The 19,881-nt window shown below is 41.1% G+C and overlaps 1 long non-coding RNA gene and 1 pseudogene across 1 annotated transcript in view; both read left to right on the forward strand.

Annotated features, from left to right (window-relative positions):
- The window catches only part of LOC105377803 (uncharacterized), a 47,930-nt gene extending 31,860 nt beyond the window's left edge, over positions 1-16,070 (forward strand). The window contains exon 4 of the long non-coding RNA XR_941393.3: positions 15,902-16,070. This is a non-coding gene — a long non-coding RNA (uncharacterized LOC105377803). The remainder of the gene's footprint in view (positions 1-15,901) is intronic.
- On the forward strand, positions 152-927 carry SNRPCP15 (small nuclear ribonucleoprotein polypeptide C pseudogene 15; annotated as a pseudogene).
- Positions 16,071-19,881: the final 3,811 nt, after the last annotated feature.

Here is a 19,881-nt window from a genome sequence, read left to right on the forward strand (position 1 = left end):
TAACTGGAATAATATCACAGATTTAAACAAATCTATCCAAAATACCAGGTCTACAAATATAAAATATTTTAACATTAACAAAATATTTTGCTTTCTTTTTATATTTAGGCTTCACAATCTAATGTGTATTTGACACTTCTCACACATCTCAGTATGATGGCAGCACCCATATGGGAGGCCCTCCCATGATGCCAATGATGGGCCCTTCTCCTCCTGGGATGATGCCAGTGGGACCTGCTCCTGGAATGAGGCCGCCCATGGGAGGCCACATGCCCGTGATGCCTGGGTGCCCAATGATGAGACCTCCTGCCTATCTCATGATGGTGCCCAGTCAGCCCAGAATGACTCGACCAGACAGATAAGGATAGAGGGGAGGGCTCATTACATCAGTGTTGCTTTTTTGGTGTTATTGTTGTGCGTTTTTTTGTTTTGTTTTGTTTTTGAGACAGAGTCTTCCTCCGTCACCCAGGCTGGAAGGCAGTGGCACGATCTCAGCTCACTGAAACCTCCACTTCCTGGTTTCAAGTGATTCCCCTGCCTCAGCCTCCTGAGTAGTGTGGGACTACAGGCATGTGCACCATGCCTGGCTAATTTTTTTTATTTTAGTAGAGACAGGGTTTCACCATGTTGGCCAGGATGGTCTCAATCTCCTGTCCTCGTCACCCGCTTGCCTCAGCCTCCCAAAGTGCTGGGATTACAGGTGTGAGCCACTGCGCCCGGCCTGTATGAGTTTTATATTTACCTGCTCCCTTCACCAGGAGATCGTGCCGCTGTGATGCTGGCTTTTCTTAACAGCATAAGGAAGACTTGCCCCCTTGCCCCATCAAAGAGAATAGTTTTGGAGGGGAGAAGTGGGACCAAAAAAGATGCAGTTTTCATTTGTATTGGGAAATGTGAAAATAGAATTGTCAACTCTTTTAGTTAAAAACGAAAAAAAAAGAAAAGGAAACAAGATGTGGGGCTGCCATAAGCAATACCATGGATTCCAAGGATCTTCTACTCTGGAGGGAAATATTATCTTTGCTGAAGCCAGACCAACCTGACACAAAGACCTTTTGGTTTTTTAATGTGACTGTGTTTTATTTTACAATGTGTAATTCACTTTAGAAGGGCAAAGTACCTGTCTGGGGAAGACTATTTAATTTCCTGCATTTATTTAGAATGTTGGCTGATGTTGTTATGAAAGGAAACAGCTCTAACAACTGAGTGCCCCCCACATAGCCACAGCTCATGAGTTCATGGGGCAAAGGAATTGAACAGCAGCCTCCTAATAGCCGGCCTTCTTTGTGGTATGGAAATGATTATCAACATGTAAAAGACTATATATATATTCAACAATTCTGACCCCCTGCAAAATTCAAATCCACAACTGATTTGCTTCCTGGGCTCCTGAAAACAACTTTGTCAAAATTGTTTAGAAATAAAATCAGCCAATTGTTGCCCCTTGGGGATGCAGGACAAAGCAAGTCAGCCATGACCAATGTGGAGTCGGCCGTACACAATTACATGCAGACCTGCAGGACATCGAGTCTCTGCTATGGTCCCTCCCCAGTCAGGCCCCCATTGCCTGGGCTGCAGCCAGAAGGATTCAGGCACAAGTGCATTCAACAAATATTTAATTGCATTGGTGGTTAGAGGGTTGCGGTTGATTAAGGTACATTAATGGATCCATGTCCTCCCTGTATCCAAGACTCTGCCATTTGTCTCTGCAGTTCCTCCCACTGAAGAATCGGAGTATATTTCTCCAGCCCCTAATGTTGGGTTTAGTCATGTGTCTAGCTTTGGCCACTGGAATATTAACCTGCATGACCAAAAACTTGGAAAGTGTGCATTCATTTGTGCTCGCTCACTCCTGCTATCACCATGAGAACAAGCCCAGGCCAGACTGCTGCTTCCAGCAGAAGATAAGAGACACCAAGAGCGAAGTCGAGCCTCTGAGACATGCTCATGCCAGATTAACCAATCCTCAGCTGATCCATAGGTCCATGAAAATAAATGATTGTTGTATTATGCCACTGAGATTTGGAGTGACTTGTTATGCAGCATTTTGTGACAACAACTAACTGATACAAGGGTCACCGTCCTTTATCGCTGTAGATTTTAACCAATTTTTAATAGCTAGATGGAGATCTTCTAGTTGCCTTTATTTATAATGAATATGACTGTAGAGCTAGTTTGGCCTGATACTACCAGTAACCTACCCAGAAATTCAGAAATACTTTCTTCTCCAACCCACCCCAACCAACCTTTTTTTTATTTTGTTTTGTTTTTGGGTTCTCCATCTTTGCCTAGGCTAGAGTACAAGTGGTACAGTCAGAGATCACTGTAACCTCAAAATCCTGAGCTCAAGTGATCTTCCCCTTCAGCCTCCTATGTAGCTAAGACTACAGACATGTGCCACCGTGCCTGGCTAATTTTTTTATTCTTTGCAGAGACAGGGTCTCACTATATTGCCCAAGTTGGTTTCAAGCTCCTGGCCTCAAGCACTCCTCTTGCCTCACCCTCCCAAAGTGCTACGATTATAGACATGAGCCACCACACCAGCCTCTTCTTCTTTTTAAATAGAAACCCTATTTTATTCTGACAGTAGGTTGCTTTTTTTTTTTTTAAGAAAAATTTGGCCCAGCCCCAGGGAATAAATTGTGACTGGTCTAAACAGGGTTGGCAAACTATAGACCAAGGGCCAAATCTGGCCCTCTGACTGTTGGTATAAATTAAGTTTTATTGGAATAAAACCAGGTCCATTCATTTATGCATTTTTTACATATGCTTTTAGGCTACAATGGCACCACTGGGTCACTGCAACAGAGGTTATCTAGACCAAAAGCCTAAAATATTACTGTTTGCCTCTTTATGGAAAAAGTTTGCCATTCCCTAGTCTAAGGTTTAGATTCTGAGCTTATCATTTTAGCCTATCCCCCCTTACCAGTGACTGGCTCAAAACAAGTCTGTGATTCCATTCTGAATGTTCTACTGAGGGAATTCTCCCTTCTTCTCATGCAGAGTTGATGAGGACAAGTTGTATTAATAGGACATATGCTCAGGTTTTCTGAAAAATACTTTTATCTAGAAATGCATAGGAATATGCTGGTGCCTGAATGTACCATCCGGGGGCCTGGAGATTGACTCACCTGCCTCCAGAGCTAGTGCTCACCCTTACTACTGAGAGGCCTGAGGAAACACCTGCCTACCCACCACCAGAACCTGCACAGATCACCTGGAGAACTAGAGATCAGACTGCCACACACACCACCCAGGAGCCCAGTGGTGCACCTGCCCAACTGGCCCAGTGCTGCCACTGCCAGCAACCAAAGAAGCCACCTGGAGGCCCAGGGATTGGCCCATGCAGACAGGCTATCATCAGTGCCCATGTATACTGCCTGTGGTCCCTAGTATTGACAAACCTGGTCCACCACCACTACCACTGAGGCTGAAGGACAAGACTTCCTGGCATCCCCATCCTCAGCAAAGCCTCACCACAGCTTCCAATAACAACTGCATTCTGGCCAGGTGTGGTGGCTCACGCCTGTAATCCCAGCACTTTGAGAGGCCGAGGTGGGTAGATCACGAGGTCAGGAGTTTGAGACTAGCCTGGCCAACATGGTGACACCCCGTCTCTACTAAAAGTACAAAAATTAGCTGGGCATGGTTGCACGTGCCTGTACTCCCAGCTACTCAAGAGGCTGAGGCAGGAGAATCATTTGAACCCAGGAGGCAGAGGTTGCAGTGAGCTGAGATTGCATCACTGAACTCCAGCCTGGTGATAGAGCTAGACTCCATCTCAACAACCACAAAAAAAAAAAAAAAAAACAAAACCAAACAAAAACTACAGTCTAAGCCACTGAATGACTCACAGACACCACTCATCCAATTACAGCAGAAGAAATCATATGCAGATTATACCACTGTACCCACCCAGAATCAAAGCCAAACTGTGATATCCAATGAACATTGTAGATATAGCTATAAGAAAAGGTCTTTCCCATATAAAAGCCAATCCATAAAATTGGAAGCAGTGACTGTTATGTCAGAGGCACAGATAGTCACATAAGGATGCAAGAAATATGAAAAAGGAAACATAACATCTCCAAAGAAGCACAATAATTCTCCAGCAACAGATTCCAATGAAAAGAAAATCTATGAAATGCCTGAAAAAAATTCAGAATAATGTTATTGAAGAAACTCAGGGAGATACAAGAGAACACAGATAATGAATACAAAAAAATCAGGAAAACAATTCATGATCTGAATGAGAAATTCAACAGAGATAGACAGCGTAACACAGAAACAAACACAAATCCTGGAAGAGAATAAATCATTGAAAGAAATACAAAAGATAATTGACAGCTTTAACAATAGACTAGATCAAGCAAAACAAAGAATTTCTGAACCTGAAGACTAGTCTTTTAAAATAATCCAGTCAGACAAAAAGAAAGAAAAAAGAATGAAGCAAAGCTACATGACATATGGGACACCTATGTGACCAAAAACTGAAATTCTGGGAGTTCTGGATGGAGATGAGATGGGTAAAGGCATAGCAAACCTATTTAATAAAATAATAACTGAAAACTTCCTGAAAGCTTCAAATACAGGAAGCTGAAAGATTACCAAATAAATACAACTCAAAAAGGTCTTCTCCAAGACACATTATGGTAAAATTGTCAAAAGACAAACAGAAAATGCTAAAAACAGCAAGAGAAAAGCAACAAGTCACTTATAAGAGAATCCCCATCAGGCTAACGAGATTTCTCAGCAGAAACCTTACAGGCTAGGAGAAAAGGGGATGTATACTACAAGTTAAAAAAAAAAAGTAAGCCAAAAATACTATACCCAGCAAAGCTATCCTTCACAAATGAAGGAGCCTGGCACAGTGGCTCACATCTGTAATTTCAGAGACTCATAAGGCTGAGGCAGGAGGATCATTTGAGCCCAAGAGTTCAAGGCTGCAGTGAGCTATGATCATGCCACTGTACTCCAGCCTGGGTGACAGAGTGAGACTCCATTGCTAAAAATAAATAAACAAATAAATAAAAGAGAAAAAAGTATTTCTCAGATAAGTAAAAGACTGTTTGTTTGGGTATTGTTTGTTGTGGTCATACAAGAAATGCTTAAGGGAGTCCTACATTGGGAAGAAAAAGAACAATATCTACCATCATGAAAACACATGAAAGTATAAAACTCACTGGTAGAGCAGACACACAAAGAAGAAAGGATTCAAACATCACCACTAAGGAGAGAAAATAGGAATAAAGGTGTATTAGTCTGTTTCCACACTGCTGATAAAGACATACCTGACTGAGACTGGGCAATTTACAAAAGAAAGAGGTTTAATGGACTTACACTTCCACATAGCTGAGGAAACCTCACAATCACGTTGGAAGGCAAGAAGAAGCAAGTCATGTCTCACATGGATGGTAACAGGCAAAGAGAGAGCTTCTGCAGGGAAACTGCCCTTTTTAAAACAATCAGAACTTGTGAGACGTATTCACTATCATGAGAACAGCATGGGAAAGACCTGCCCCCATGACTAAATTGCTTCCCAACAGGTCCCTCCCACAACATGTGGGAATTCAAGATGAGATTTTGGTGGGGACAAAACCAAACCATATCATTCTGTCCCTGGCCCTTCCCAAGTCTCATATCCTCATATTTCAAAACCAATCATGCCTTCCCAACAGTCCCCCAAACTCTTAACTAAGTTCAGCATTAACTCAAAAGTCCACTGTCCAAAGTCTCATGTGAGACAAGCCAAATCCCTTCCACCTATGAGCACATAAAATCAAAAACAAGTTAGTTACTTCCTAGATACAATGGGGGTATAGGCATTGGGTAAACACAGTCATTCCTAATGGGAGAAAATTGCCAAAACAAAGGGGCTACAGGCGCCATGCAAGCCCAAAATCCAGTGGGGCAGTCAAATCTCAAAGCTCCAAAATGATCTCCTTTGACTCCATGTCTCACATGCAGGTCATGCTGATGTAAGAAGTGGGCTCCCATGACCTTGGGAGAAAAAAGGCCACAGCTCCACTCCTGTGGCTTTGTAGGGTATAAACCCCCTCCTAGCTCCTTCCATGGGTTGGCATTGAGTGTCTGCCGCTTTTCCAGGCACACAGTGCAAGCTGTCAGTGAATCCACTATTCTGGGGTCTGGAGGATGGTGGCCCTCTTCTCACAGCTCCACTAGGTGGCGCAGCAGTAGGGACTGTATGTGGGGGCTCCGACCCCACATTTCCCTTCCGCACTGCCCCAGTAGAGGTTCTCCATGAGTGCCCTGCCCCTGCAGCAAACTCCTGCCTGGACGTCTAGGCATTTCCATACATCTTCTGATATCTAGGCAGTGGTTCCCAAACCTCAATTTTTGACTTCTGTGCACCCATAGGCTCAACACTATGTGGAAGCTGCTAAGGCTTGGGACTTGCACCCTCTGAAGCCACAGCCCACATTGTACCTAGGCACCTTTTAGCTGCAGCTGGAGTGGCTAGGACTCAGGCACCCTAGGCTGCTCACAGCAGGGGGGCCCTGGGTCCAGCACACAAAACCATCTTTTCTTCCCAGGCCTCTGGGCCTTTGATGGGAGGGGCTGCCATGAAGATCTGTGACATGCCCTGAAGACATTTTCCCCATTGTCTTGGGGATCCACATTTGACTCCTTGTTACCTAAACAAACTTCTGCAGCCAGATCGAATTTTTCTTGAGAAAATGGGATTTTCTTTTCTATTGCATGTTCAGGCTGCAAATTTTCCAAACTTTCATGCTCTGCTTCCCTTATAAAACTGAGGGCCTTTAACACACCTAAGTCATCTCTTGAATGCTTTGCTGCTTAGAAATTTCTTCTACCAGACACCCTAAATCATCTCTCTCAAGTTCAAAGTTCCACAAATCTCTACAGCAGGGGCAAAAAGCCACCAGTCTCTTTGCTAAAACATAACAGGAGTCACCTTTGTGCCAGTTCCTGACAAGTTCCTCATTTCCGTCTGTGACAACCTAAGCCTAGACTTTATTGTCCATATAACCATCAGCATTTTGGGCAAGTCTCTAGGAAATCTCTTCCAAATTTTCCCACATTTTCCTGTCTCCTTCTGAGCCCTCCAAACTGTTCCAACCTCTGCCTGTTTCCCAGTTCCAAAGTCACTTCCACATATTCAGGTATCTTTTAGCCACACCCCACTTCTGGTACTAATTTACTGTATTAGTCCATTTTCACACAGCTGATAAAGACACATTCAAGACTGGGAAATTTACAAAAGAAAGAGGTTTAATGGACTTACAATTCTACATTGCTGGGGAGGCTTCGAAATCATTGCAGAAGTCAAGGAGAGGAAAGTCACATCTTACAGGGATGGCAGCAGGCAAAGAGAGAGATTGAGCAGGGAAACTACTCCTTTTAAAACCATCAGATCTCAAGAGACTTATTCACTATCAAAAGAATAGCATGGGAAATACCTGCCTCCATGATTCAACTACTTCCCACTGGATCCCTCCCACAACACATGGGAATTCAAGATGAGATCTGAGTGGGGACACAGCCAAACCATATCAAAAGGATATACAAAATAACCAGAAAACAATGAACAAAATGACAGGAATAAGTCCTCACCTATCAATAATAACTTCAAATATGTGTTAAGTTAACTACCTAAAAGATAGAGGCAGGCTTAATGGACAAAAAATGACCCAACAACGTCTACAAGAAACTCATTTCACTTGTAAAGACACACACAGACTGAAAGTGAAGGGATTGAAAAAGATATACCACATAAACAGAAATCAAAAGTAACCAGGAGTAGCTAAACTTACATCAGATAAAACAGACTTTAAGTCAAAAACTGTAAAAAGGACAAAGAAGGTCATTATATGGTAATAAAGGGATCCATTCAGCAAGAAAGTATAACAATTCTAAATATGCATGCAACCAACAAAAGCACATCCAGACACACATAGCAAATATTATTAAATCTACAGGGAGAGATAGAATCCAATACAATGATAGTTGAGAACTTCAATATCCTACTCTCAGCATTGGACAGTTCATCTAGACATAAAATCAACAAAGAAACATTAGATTTAAGCTGCACTTTAGACCAAATGGACCTAACAGATATTTTCAGAATATTTCATCCAGCAGCAGCAGAATATACAATCATCTCATCAACACATGGAACATTCTCCAGGATAGACCATATGTTAGGACACAAAACAAGGCTCAACAAAATTTTAAAAATTAAAATCATATCAAGTATCTTCTCAGACCACAATGGAATAAAACTTGAAATCAATAAGAAGAAGAAATTTGGAAACTGTACAAATACATGGACATTAAACATGCTATCGAATGGTCATTGGAGCAATGAAGAAACTAAGATGGACATCAAATTTTTTTTTTTTAAACAGAAAATAGAAACACATCATGCAAAACCTATGGGATACAGCAAAAGCACTACTAGGAGGCAAGTTCATAGCAATAAATGCCTACACCAAAAAAGTAGAAAGATTTCAAATAAACAACCTAACGATGAACCTCAAGGAACTCAAAAAGCAAGAACAAACCAAACACACAATTAGTAGAAAGAAAAGATAATAAATTACATAGCAGAACCAAATGCAACGGAGACAAAAAAGAAATGCAAAGAATCAACAAGATAAAAGTTGGTTTTTTGAAAAGTTAAACAAAATTGATAAACCACTAGTGAGGCTAACAAAAAAAAAAAAAAAAAGAGAGAGACCCAAGTAAATACAATCAGAAATGAAAAAGGAGACATTACATCTGTTACCAAAGAAATAAAAAGGATCATTAGAGGCTATTAGGAACAACCATATGCTAACAGATTGGAAAACCTAGAGGAAAGGGATAAATTCCCAGAAATACACAGCCTACCAAGATTGAACTAGGAAGAAACAGAAAACCTGAACTGAGCCAAAATGAATAGCAGGTTTGAATCAGTAACAAAAAGTCTCCCCAAAGAGAAAAGCCCTAGACTAGGCTTTTATGCTGATTTCTACCCAATTTATAAAGAAAAACAACACCAATTCTTCTCAAACTATTCTCAAAAATTGAAGAGGAGGGAATTCTTCCTAACTCATTGTATAAGGCCAGCATTACCCTGATATCCAATCAAGACAAGGACACAACAAAAAGAGAAAACTACAGGCCAATATTCCTAATGAACACAGATGCAAAAATTCTCAGCATAATACTACCAAGCCAAATCTGATGATGAATGAAAAAGATAATATACCATGATCAAGTGGGATTTATCCCAGGAATGCAAAGATGGCTCAACATCCAGAAATTAGTGCATGTGATACATCACATCAACAAGATGAAAGGCAAAAACTATCTGATCATCTCAGCAGATGCAGAAAAATCACTCAGTAAAACTTACCATTCCTTCATGATGAAAACTCTCAACAAGTTATGCATAGAAGGAACATTTCAACATAAGAAAAGCATATATGACTAATCTACAGCTAACATCCTACTCACTGGGAAAAATTGAAAAGCCTTTCCTCTAAGAACTGGAATAAGACAAGGATGCCCACTTTCACCACTCTTATTCAACACAGTATGGGACATCCAAGCCAAAGTGATCAGACAAGATAAAGAAATAAAAGGCATCCAAAATGGACAAGAGGAAGTCAAATTGTCTCACTTTGCAGATGACATAATCTTATACTTGTAAACAGAAAAACCTAAAGACTCCACCAAAAAACTCTTAAAATGGGTAAATTAGGCTGGGCATGGTAGCTTATGCCTGTAATCCCAGCACTTTGGGAGGCCAAGGTGGGCGAATCACCTGAGGTTGGGAGTTTGAGACCAGCCTGGCCAACATGGCGAAACCCTGTCTCTACAAAAAATACAATTAGCAAAGCATGGTGGTAGGTGTCTGTAATCCCAGCTACTTGGGAGGCTGAAGCAGGAGAATTGCTTGAACCCGAGAGGCGGAGGTTGCACTGAGCCAAGATTGCACCACTACACTCCAGCCTGGGCAACAGAGTGAGACTCTATCTCAAAAAATAAAAAATAAAAAATAAAAAAAATTTAAAAAGCAGATGTATAATTCAGTAAAGCTTCAGGTCACAAAATCAACCTAGAAAAATCAGTAATGTTTCTATATACCAGTAAGAAACTAGCTAAAATAGAAATCAAAGAAGAAATTCTATTTACAATAGCTACAAAAATAAAATACCTAGGAATAAACTTAACCAAGGAGGGGGAAAATAAACCAAAAAACCTCTGCAGTGAAAACCACAAAACATTGATAAAATAAATTGAGAAGGACAGGAACATATGGAAAGGCATCTCATACTCGTGGGTTGGAATAACTAATACTGTTAAAATGACCATGCTACTCGAAGCAGTTTAGAGATTTAGTATAATCCCTATCAATTATATTATTCACAGAAACAGGAAAAAAAAAAGCCCTGAAATTCATATGGAACCACAGAAGACCCGAAATAGCCAAAGCAATACTGAGCAAAAAGAACAAAGCTAGAAGCCTCACACTACCTGATTTAAAAATATACTGCAAAGCGGCCGGGCGCGGTGGCTCATGCCTGTAATCCCAGCACTTTGGGAGGCTGAAGCGGGTGGATCACAAGGTCAGGAGATCGAGAACATCCTGGCTAACATGGTGAAACCCTGTCTCTACTAAAAAAAAAAAAAAAAAAAAAAAAAATTACCAGGTGTGGTGATGGGTGCCTTTAGTCCCAGCTACTCGGGAGGCTGAGGCAGGAGAATGGCGTGAACCCTGGAGGCGGAGGCAGAGCTTGCAGTGAGCCAAGATCGTGCCACTGCACTCCAGCCTGGGCGACAGAGCAAGACTCCATCTCAAAAAACAAAACAAAACAAAAATATATATATATGTACTGCAAAGCTACAGTAACCAAAACAGCGTGTATTGGTATTAAAAAAGACACAAAAACAAAGGAAACAGACTAAGGAATTCAGAAATGAATCCACATATTTACAGCTAACTGATTTTCAAGAAAGCTGTCAAGAACATACATTGAATAAAGGATACCCTCTTCATTAAATGGTGCCAGGAAAACTAGATATCCAAACACAGAAGAATAAAACTAGACCCTTATCTCTCATCACTTACAAAAATAAACTCAAAATCAATTAAAGACTTAAATGTAACAGCCACAACTATAAAACTACTGGAAGTAAACACAGGAGAAAAGCTTGAGAACAAAGATTGTATGGCTAACACTTAAAAAGTACAAGCAACAAAAACAGACAAATGGGATTATATTAAACTAAATACCTTCTGCATATCAAAGAAAACAATCAACAGAGTGAAAAGACAACACCCCTCCCTTACACCATACACAAAAATTAACTCAAGATGGCTTAAAGACTTAAATTTAAAACCCATAACTATAAAAACGCTGGAAGACAACCTAGGCAATACCCTCCAGTACATAGTGATGGGCAAAGAGTTCATGGTAAAGATGCCAAACGCAATTGCCACAAAAGCAAAAATTGACAAATGGGATCTAATTAAATGAAAGAGCTTCTGCACAGCAAAAGAAACTATCAAAAAACAAACAGATATTTCTCAAAAGAAGATATACAAATCACCAAGTTTATGAAAAAATATTCAACATCACTAATCATCACGGAAATGCAAATCAAAACCACAATAAGATATCATCTCATACTTGTTAGAATGGCTATTATTAAAAAGACAAAGCACAACAAATGCTGGCAAGCATGTGAAGAAAAGAAAATTATTGTATATTGTTGGTGGGAATGTAAATTAGTACAGTCATTATGAAAAAAAGCACAGAGATTTCTCAAAAAAACTAAGAACAAATCTACCACGTGATCCAGCAATCCCACTCCTGGGTATACATCCAAAAAAAGGATATCAGTGTATCAACGGGATATCTGTACCTCCATATTTACTGCAGCACTATTTACAATAGCCAAGATAAGGAATCAATCTGAGTGTCAATCAATGGATGAATGGATAAAGAAAATGGGAATATACGCATAACAGAATAGTATTCAGCCTTAAAAAAGAATGAAATCCTGCCATTTTCAGCTAAATGGATGAAATTAAACGTCATAATGTTAGGTGAACTAGGCCATTCACAGAAAGAAAACTATTGCATGTTTTCACTTATGTGAGCGGTTTATGTTCCTGGAAATCAAAGTGGGGGCCACGTTTCAGGTCAGTAGGGTCAGGGATAGAGACCACAGTTATGGACTTGTGTGCCCTGGAGCTATATAAAATTGATATCATAGAGATAAAGAGTAGAATGATAGTTAATAGAGGCTGGGAAGAGGAGGGGTTTGAAAAGAGGTTGATTAATGAATATAAAAATATATAATAGAAGGAATAAGGTCTAGTGTTCATTATCACAGAAAGTGACTACAACAATTTGTTGTGTATTTCTTTTTTTAATTTCAATAGTTTTTAGGGAACAGATGGTATTTGGTTACATGGATAAGTTCCTTAGTGGTGATCTCTGAAATTTTGGCATACCCATCACCAAAGCAGCTTACCCAATGTATAGTCTTTTCTCTCTCACTCCCTCCCACCTTCCCATTGAGCCCCCAAAGTCCACTGTTTCATTCTTGTGCCTTTGCATCATCATAGCTTAGCTCCCACTTACGAGTGAGAACATGCTATGTTTGGTTTTCCATTCCTGAGTTACTTCATTTAGAATAATGGTCAAATCCATCCAGGTTGCTATGCATGCCATTATTTTATTCCTTTTTAAGGCTAAGTAGTATTCTATGGTATACATATATATAACACATTTTCTTTATCCACTAATTGATTGATGGACATTTGTGCTGGTTCTATAGTTTTGCAACTGTGAATTCTGCTGCTGTAAACATGTGTGCAAATGTATCTTTTTCATATAATGACTTCTTTTCTTCTGGGTAGATACCTAGCAGTGGGATTGCTGGATGAAATGGTAGATGTACTTCTAGTTGTTTAAGGAATCTCCATACTGCTTTCCATAGTGGTGGTACTAGCTTACATTCCCACCATCAGTGTAAAAGCGTTGTCTTTCACCACATCCATGCCAACATCAACTTTTGTTTTTTTTGTTTTGTTTTGTTTTTTGGTTTTTTGAGATGGAGTCTCACTCTGTAGCCCAGGCTGGAGTACAGTGGTGCCATATCAGCTCACTGCAACCTCTGCCTCCCGGGTTCAAGCAATTCTCCTGCCTCAGCCTCCTGAGTAGCTGGGATTACAGCCAACTGCCACAATGCTCGGCTAATTTTTGTATTTTCAGTAGAGACTGGGTTTCACCATGTTGGTCAGGCTGGTCTCAAACTCCTGATCTCGTGATCCGCCCACCTTGGCCTCCCAAAGTGCTAGGATTACAGGCGTGAGCCACCACGCCTCGCCCTCTTTTTGTTTCTTTTACACGTGGTATTGCATTGTGGTTTTGATTTGCATTTCCCTGGTAATTAGTGATGTTGAGCATTTTTTCATGTTTGTTGGCCATTTGTATATCTTCTTTTGAGAATTGTCTATTCATGTCCTTGGCACACTTTTTGATGAGATTCTTTTTTTCTTGCTGATTAGAGTTCCCTGTAGATTCTGCACATTAGCCCTTTGTCAGATGCAGTTTGTGAAAATTTTCTCCCACTCTGTGGGTGATCTGTTTACTCTGCTGATTATTTTCTATGCTGTGCAGGAGGCTTTTAGTTTAATTAAAGTCCCATCTATTTATCTGTGTTTTTGTTGCATTTGCTTTTGGGTTCTTGGTCATAAACTCTTTGCCTAAGCCAATGTGTAGAAGCATTTTCCAATGTTATCTTCTAGAATTTTTATGGTTTCAGACCTTAGATTTAAGTCTTTGATCCATCTTGTGTTGATTTTTGTATAAGGTGAGAGATAAGGATCCAGTTTTATTCTTTTACATGTGGCTTGCCAACTATCCCAGCACTATTTGTTGTATAGGGTGTACTTTTCTTACTTTGGTTTTGTTTACTTTGTCGAAGATCAGTTGGCTGTTAAGTATTTGGCTTTATTTCTAGGTTCTCTACTCTGTCCCATTGGTCATGTGCCTATTTTTATACCAGCACCATGCAGTTTTGGTGACTATAGCTTTGTAATATAGTTTGAAGTTGGGTAATGTGATGCCTCTAGATTGGTTCTTTTTGCTTAGTTTTGCTTTGGCTTTGCAGACTCTTTTTTAGTTCCAAATGAATTTTGGCATTTTTTTTCTAGTTCTATAAAGAATGATGATGATACATTGATAGGAATTGCATTGAATTTGTAGACTGCTTTTGGCAGTATGGTCATTTTCACAATATTGAGTCTACCCATCCATGAACATGGAATGTGTTTCCATTTGTTTTTGTCATCTGTGATTTCTTTCAACAGTGTTTTGTAGTTTTCCTTGTAGGGGTCTTTCACCTCCTTGGTTAGGTATATTCCTAAGTATTTTATTTTTACAGCTATTATAAAAGGGTTTGATTTGATTCTCAGCCTGGTAGATGTTGGTGTATAGCACTGCTACTGATTTGTGTACATAGATTTTATATCCTGATAAATAGAATTATTATGTACTTCTAAATAACAATAAGATTTGAAATATTCCCAACACAAAGAAATGATCAATGTTTGAGGTGGTTAATATCCCAAAGACCCTGATTTGATCATTACACATTGCACGCATGTACCAGAATCTCACATGGACCCCATAAATGTGTACAATTATTCTCTATCGAAAACATTTTTTTTTAAAGAAACATGCAGGAATACACTGTACCTCTTCCTTGCTGTCTCTGGATATTGTCACATGAGGACTTGACATGCGGATTGTGGCAGCCTCTGTGACCAAGAGCAGAAGACAATAGCAGCATAGAAACCTCAAATGAAAAACCTAAAATCTCAAGCTACTAATTTAGCCAACCTTGGCATCAGCTATCTCTGATCTTAGTACATGAGATGATAAGCCCCCACTGTTCAAGTTGGGTGGCCATCAATTGCTGCAGAATAGAATTTAATGAGGCTTCCTCCTCCTGGATCCTCTACTAGACCCTGACATGCCCATTCAGTCACAGGCAGAAAGGGAAGCTCAGGGTAAGGAGACCTGGCTGACTGTGCCAGAAGCAGATCTTACCTGTCCTGCTTAGAACACTCAAAACTCAATTGGTTAAACAAAAAAAGGAAAAAGACAGTAAGGAGTATAGCACTCCCCAGATGCAACTTAATGAAACACTCTATACTTTAGATTTTCTAGACATACATAGAAATCAGACCACTACTTCTGCAGAACATTTTACTGGTAAAAAGAATAGCCCACATGAGGGAAAACTGATTTGGTGGAAAGACAACAAAAACAAAACATGGGAAATAGGTAAGGTGATAACATGGTGGGAGGTTTTGCTTGTGTTTCACCAGGAGAAAATCAGCTTCCTGTTTGGATACCCACTAGACATTTGAAGTTCCACAGTGAACCCATCAGAGATGCAAATGAAAGTGCCTCTGCAGAGACAGAAAACCCGCAATCGAGCATCATCGACTCGCAGGGTGAACAAAATGTGATATCAGAAGAACAAATGAAGTTACAATCCACCAAGGAAATGGCACATGTGGAGAGCCAGGGAGAGGAAGAGAAAGAAAAAGAGACAGAGATCAGAGAAAGACACAGAAAGAGATTGGGGAGAGAAATAGTGTAAAAGAGAGAGAGAGAGACCGTAAGAGAAGGGAGACAAAGAGATAAAAGGTGCGAGTGAGCAGGTGAGGAGAAAGACTGAAAACTATGAGAAACAGCAACTAAGACACAAAGGAGGTGGGAGACTGCGTTGGTGCCGCAGCAGCCACACCGTCCTCTTGCCCCCGTCACTTGGGTTAAAACCACCGGAAATTCCACTATTGCAAATTTTTTATTAATCCTTGTATGTCTGTCCTTTCTATTTTTAGTCTACAGGTGTATCCAGCAGCTCCAGAGAGACAGCGACCAGCGAGAAGGGGCCATGATGATGGTGGTGGTTTTGTCAAAATGAAAAGGGGGATATGTAGGGAAAAGAAAGAGAGATCAGACTGTTACTGTGTCTACATAGAAAGGGAAGCCATAAGAGACTCCATTTTGAAAAAGACCTGTACTTTAAACAATTGCTTGCTGAGATGTTGTTTATCTGTAGCTTTGCCCCAGCCACTTTGCCGCAACCACTTTGACCCAATCTGGAGCTCACAAAAACATGTTTGTATGAAATCAAGGTTTAAGGCATGTAGGGCTGTGCAGGACGTGCCTTGTTAACCAAATATTTGGAAGCAGTATACTTGGTAAAAGTCATCACCATTCTCTCGTCTCAATAAACCAGGGGCACAATGCACTGTGGAAAGCCGCAGGGACCTCTGCCCTTGAAAGCTGGGTATTGTCCATGGTTTCTTCCCATGTGATAGTCTGAAATATGGCCTCATGGGATGAGAAAGACCTGACGGTCCCCCAGCTCGACACCCATAAAGTGTCTGTGCTGAGGTGGATTAGTCAAAGAGGAAAGCCTCTTGCAGTTGAGATAGAGGAAGGCCGCTGTCTCATGCTTGCCCCCTGGGAACTGAATGTCTCGGTATAAAACACGATTGTACATTTGTTCAATTCTGAGATGGGAGAAAAACCACCCTATGGTGGGAGGCGAGACATGTTTACAGCAATGCTGCCTTGTTATTCTTTACTCCACTGAGATGTCTGGGTGCAGAGAAACATAAATCTGGCTTACATGCACGTCCAGTCATAGTACCTTCCCTTGAACTTCATTATGTCATAGATTCTATTGCTCACATGTTTGTTGCTGACCTTCTCCTTATTATCACCTTGCCCTCCTACTACATTCATTTTTGCTGAAATAATGAAGATAATAATCAATAAAAACTGAGGGAACTCAGAGAACGGTGCCAGTGCAGGTCCTTGGTATGCTAAGCGCCGGTCCCCTGGGCCCACTGTTGTTTCTCTATACTTTGTCTCTGTGTCTGATTTCTTTTCTGTCTCTCATCCCACCCGACAAGAAATACCCACAGGTGTGGAGGGGCAGGCCACCCCTTCAGTATGAGATTACAGGCATGAATAACCCCACCTGGCCACCTAACTCACTCTTGAGAGGCCAGAAGTGATGCTGGAACTTTCTTCCTCTGTGGGTGAAAAAGGGAAAATTAGGGAGAACACAAGGCATGAGAGATGCAGCGATGGATATGTCTATATGGAGCTTCTGTCTGCATCCAGTAGAAAATGCATTTCTAGGCACCAGGTTTAAGAGCGAAAACCTGGAGTCTTGTCTGTTAGCATTCTCCTTCCCCACAAACCAGAGAGGGAATACATTTGCTCCAGCACACCCGGATGTAGGAAATGTCACATTCCTATTTCTGTAACTTCACTTAAATCTGCTCTGAGTCCCTGGATGCCTGGCAGGTGGAGAATTCAATCTTGTCGTTACCAGCATTCCTTTCCCTTCTCCATGGGCTTATGTAAGAATTCTGGGCTTACACACTGTTGGAAAGCCAGGTAGGAACTACATCCCCTGAACTCTCCATTCTTCCACCTGCTCATGATCCATCAACATTCTTTGGGCCACCTGCTATAGCAAGACCCTACTCACAGCATCATTCCACTGACCCACAGGCTCAGCCCCAGGGACCCTCACTAGAACAGGTCTCCACTATGCATAGGAACTCACAAAAACCTTCTCTTCATCTTGGCTTCCTCTGATATCCAGCCACTCCCCAACTTCTCACCTTAAACACAGATGGCAGCTCCTTCCCATCCTTCCAAACCTGGGGGATTGTCCAGCCAAATTCTCTTCAGACACCAAAGCTTCACCCGCCCTCTTTAGGGAGGTGCTGCAAGGGCATCTGAGATCTTTGGAAGCCCAATTCTGGCCTCTCTTTGGGGTGGGCTGAGAGTGGGAAGTAGACTCTCTTTTCCAAATGCCATGTGTATCTTGTTCATCATTATATTATCTCCAATGCCTGACACATAGTAGGCACTACAGACTGGCACATAGTAGGTGCTATTAGTGTCTGTATAATGGGACTCTTGAGGTTGAAGCTATTAGCAGGAACCTGCCAGGCAAAAGGATGGAAAACCAACCACCAAAAAAAAAAAAAAAAAAAAAAAAAAAAGAAAACAATCGTGGCTTTGAGCTCTAAACACACAAGGCACCAACCCAAGTTTGGGCAATTTTAATACAACAGCCATTTTGCCTCCAAACAAACTGACACTGGGAACCTCCCTCTGCCTCTAAAAGAGAACCAGTTTCCCTTTCTCTAAGTGGGCAGCATTTCTCCCCTGTGGCAGTACCCAGCCCACTACCACCAGCAAAGGACTGCAGCCAGGACCCAAGAGCTTGAGAGTTTAAAGAATAGATTTTATACGGAAAAATAAAGTAACATCCACATAAATCTGGAACTACCACCACTTTCCAGAGGCCGAATCCCATTTGTGGAGTCTCTTGCGTGTCAAGCACCTTGCAGTCAGCTCAACTACACACTTTTGGGATTCGTTGCAGACACGAGAGAAGGTTATCAGCAAAATAAAGGAACCAGGGCTCAGAATTACCAGAACAATCCATGACAGAGGAGGTGAGTAGAAAAGGGAAGGGTGAAGTCAAAGGAGAGAAGTCAATGAGTTGGCCAACACCAAACAAGGATCATGGGACCCTCTCCACGACCCCACATCTCAAATGAAGTCAACAAAACCCATCAATGCTTGGTGTAAGTGTTGTATGCTCCCGGAAATGAAAGCAGGGGCCACATTTCAGGTCAGTAGGGTCGGTGGTAGAGGCAGCGGTCATGGACTTGTGGGCCCTGGAGGATGGGATGATTCTGAGACATTGAATCCCTGCACTGATCTCAGTTGAAATCTCAGGTAGGGCTTCAACATTCGTGGACCAAGGACTCTGTGGGCCTGAGAGCAACAGCCTTGGTGCATGTCCCAGCTCCATCAATCCCAACTGGGGCTTTGAACAAGTTACTTATTTTTTTAACTAAAGTTATTTTAATTGACAAATCAAAATTGTACACATGTATGTGATGTTTTGATATGTGTATACAATGTGGGATGATTAGATCAAACTAATGAACACGTCCATCCCCTAATTTACTGACAATTTTCATGATGCAACATTTGAAATGTACCCACTTAGTTATTTTGAAAGATACATTATTATTTACTATAGTCACGCTACTGTGCTATAGATTTCAAAGCATATAATCCAGCAACCCAACTTCTGGATATAGACCAAAAAAAAATCAAAATCAATATGTCGAAGGGATCCCTACATTCCTATGTTCACTGCAGCACTATTCACAATACCCAAGATATAGAATCAACCTAAGTGTCCATTAGTGGATGAAAAGATAAAGCAAATGGACTATATACACACAACGGAATACTATTAACCCTTAAAAAAGAAAGAATTCCTGTCATTTTCAACAACATAGATGAATTTGAAAGACATTGTGTTAAGTGAAATAAGCCAGGCACAGAAAGACAAATACTGCATGATTTTACTTATATGTGGAATCTAAAGAAGTAGAACTCACAGAAATAGAGAGTAGGACAGTGGTTATCTGGGGATGGGGTGAAGGAAAGGGAGGGGATTGGAGACACTGGTCAAAGGGTACAAAGTTTCCAATAGGAAGAATAAGTTTTGAACAAGCTAAACTCCTCTGAAAGTTCAGTTCCTCATCTGTAGAGCAGGGACACATCATCAACCTTCTACGGATGTTGCTGTAAGAGTAAGAGATGATGTTCAACACAATACCTAACACACAGTCAGGTCTCCTTAAGCTTGAACCTGCATCCCCATGACCTCTACATCTCAGGACAGAAGGGCTCACAGCCAGTGTCTCAGTTCCCAATGAAAAGTGGATCCCAGACCAGGCTGAACAGCAGGATCCCTAGGGGA

This window comes from Homo sapiens, chromosome 8 (genome assembly GCF_000001405.40).
Source record: "Homo sapiens chromosome 8, GRCh38.p14 Primary Assembly".
NCBI lineage: Eukaryota > Metazoa > Chordata > Mammalia > Primates > Hominidae > Homo > Homo sapiens.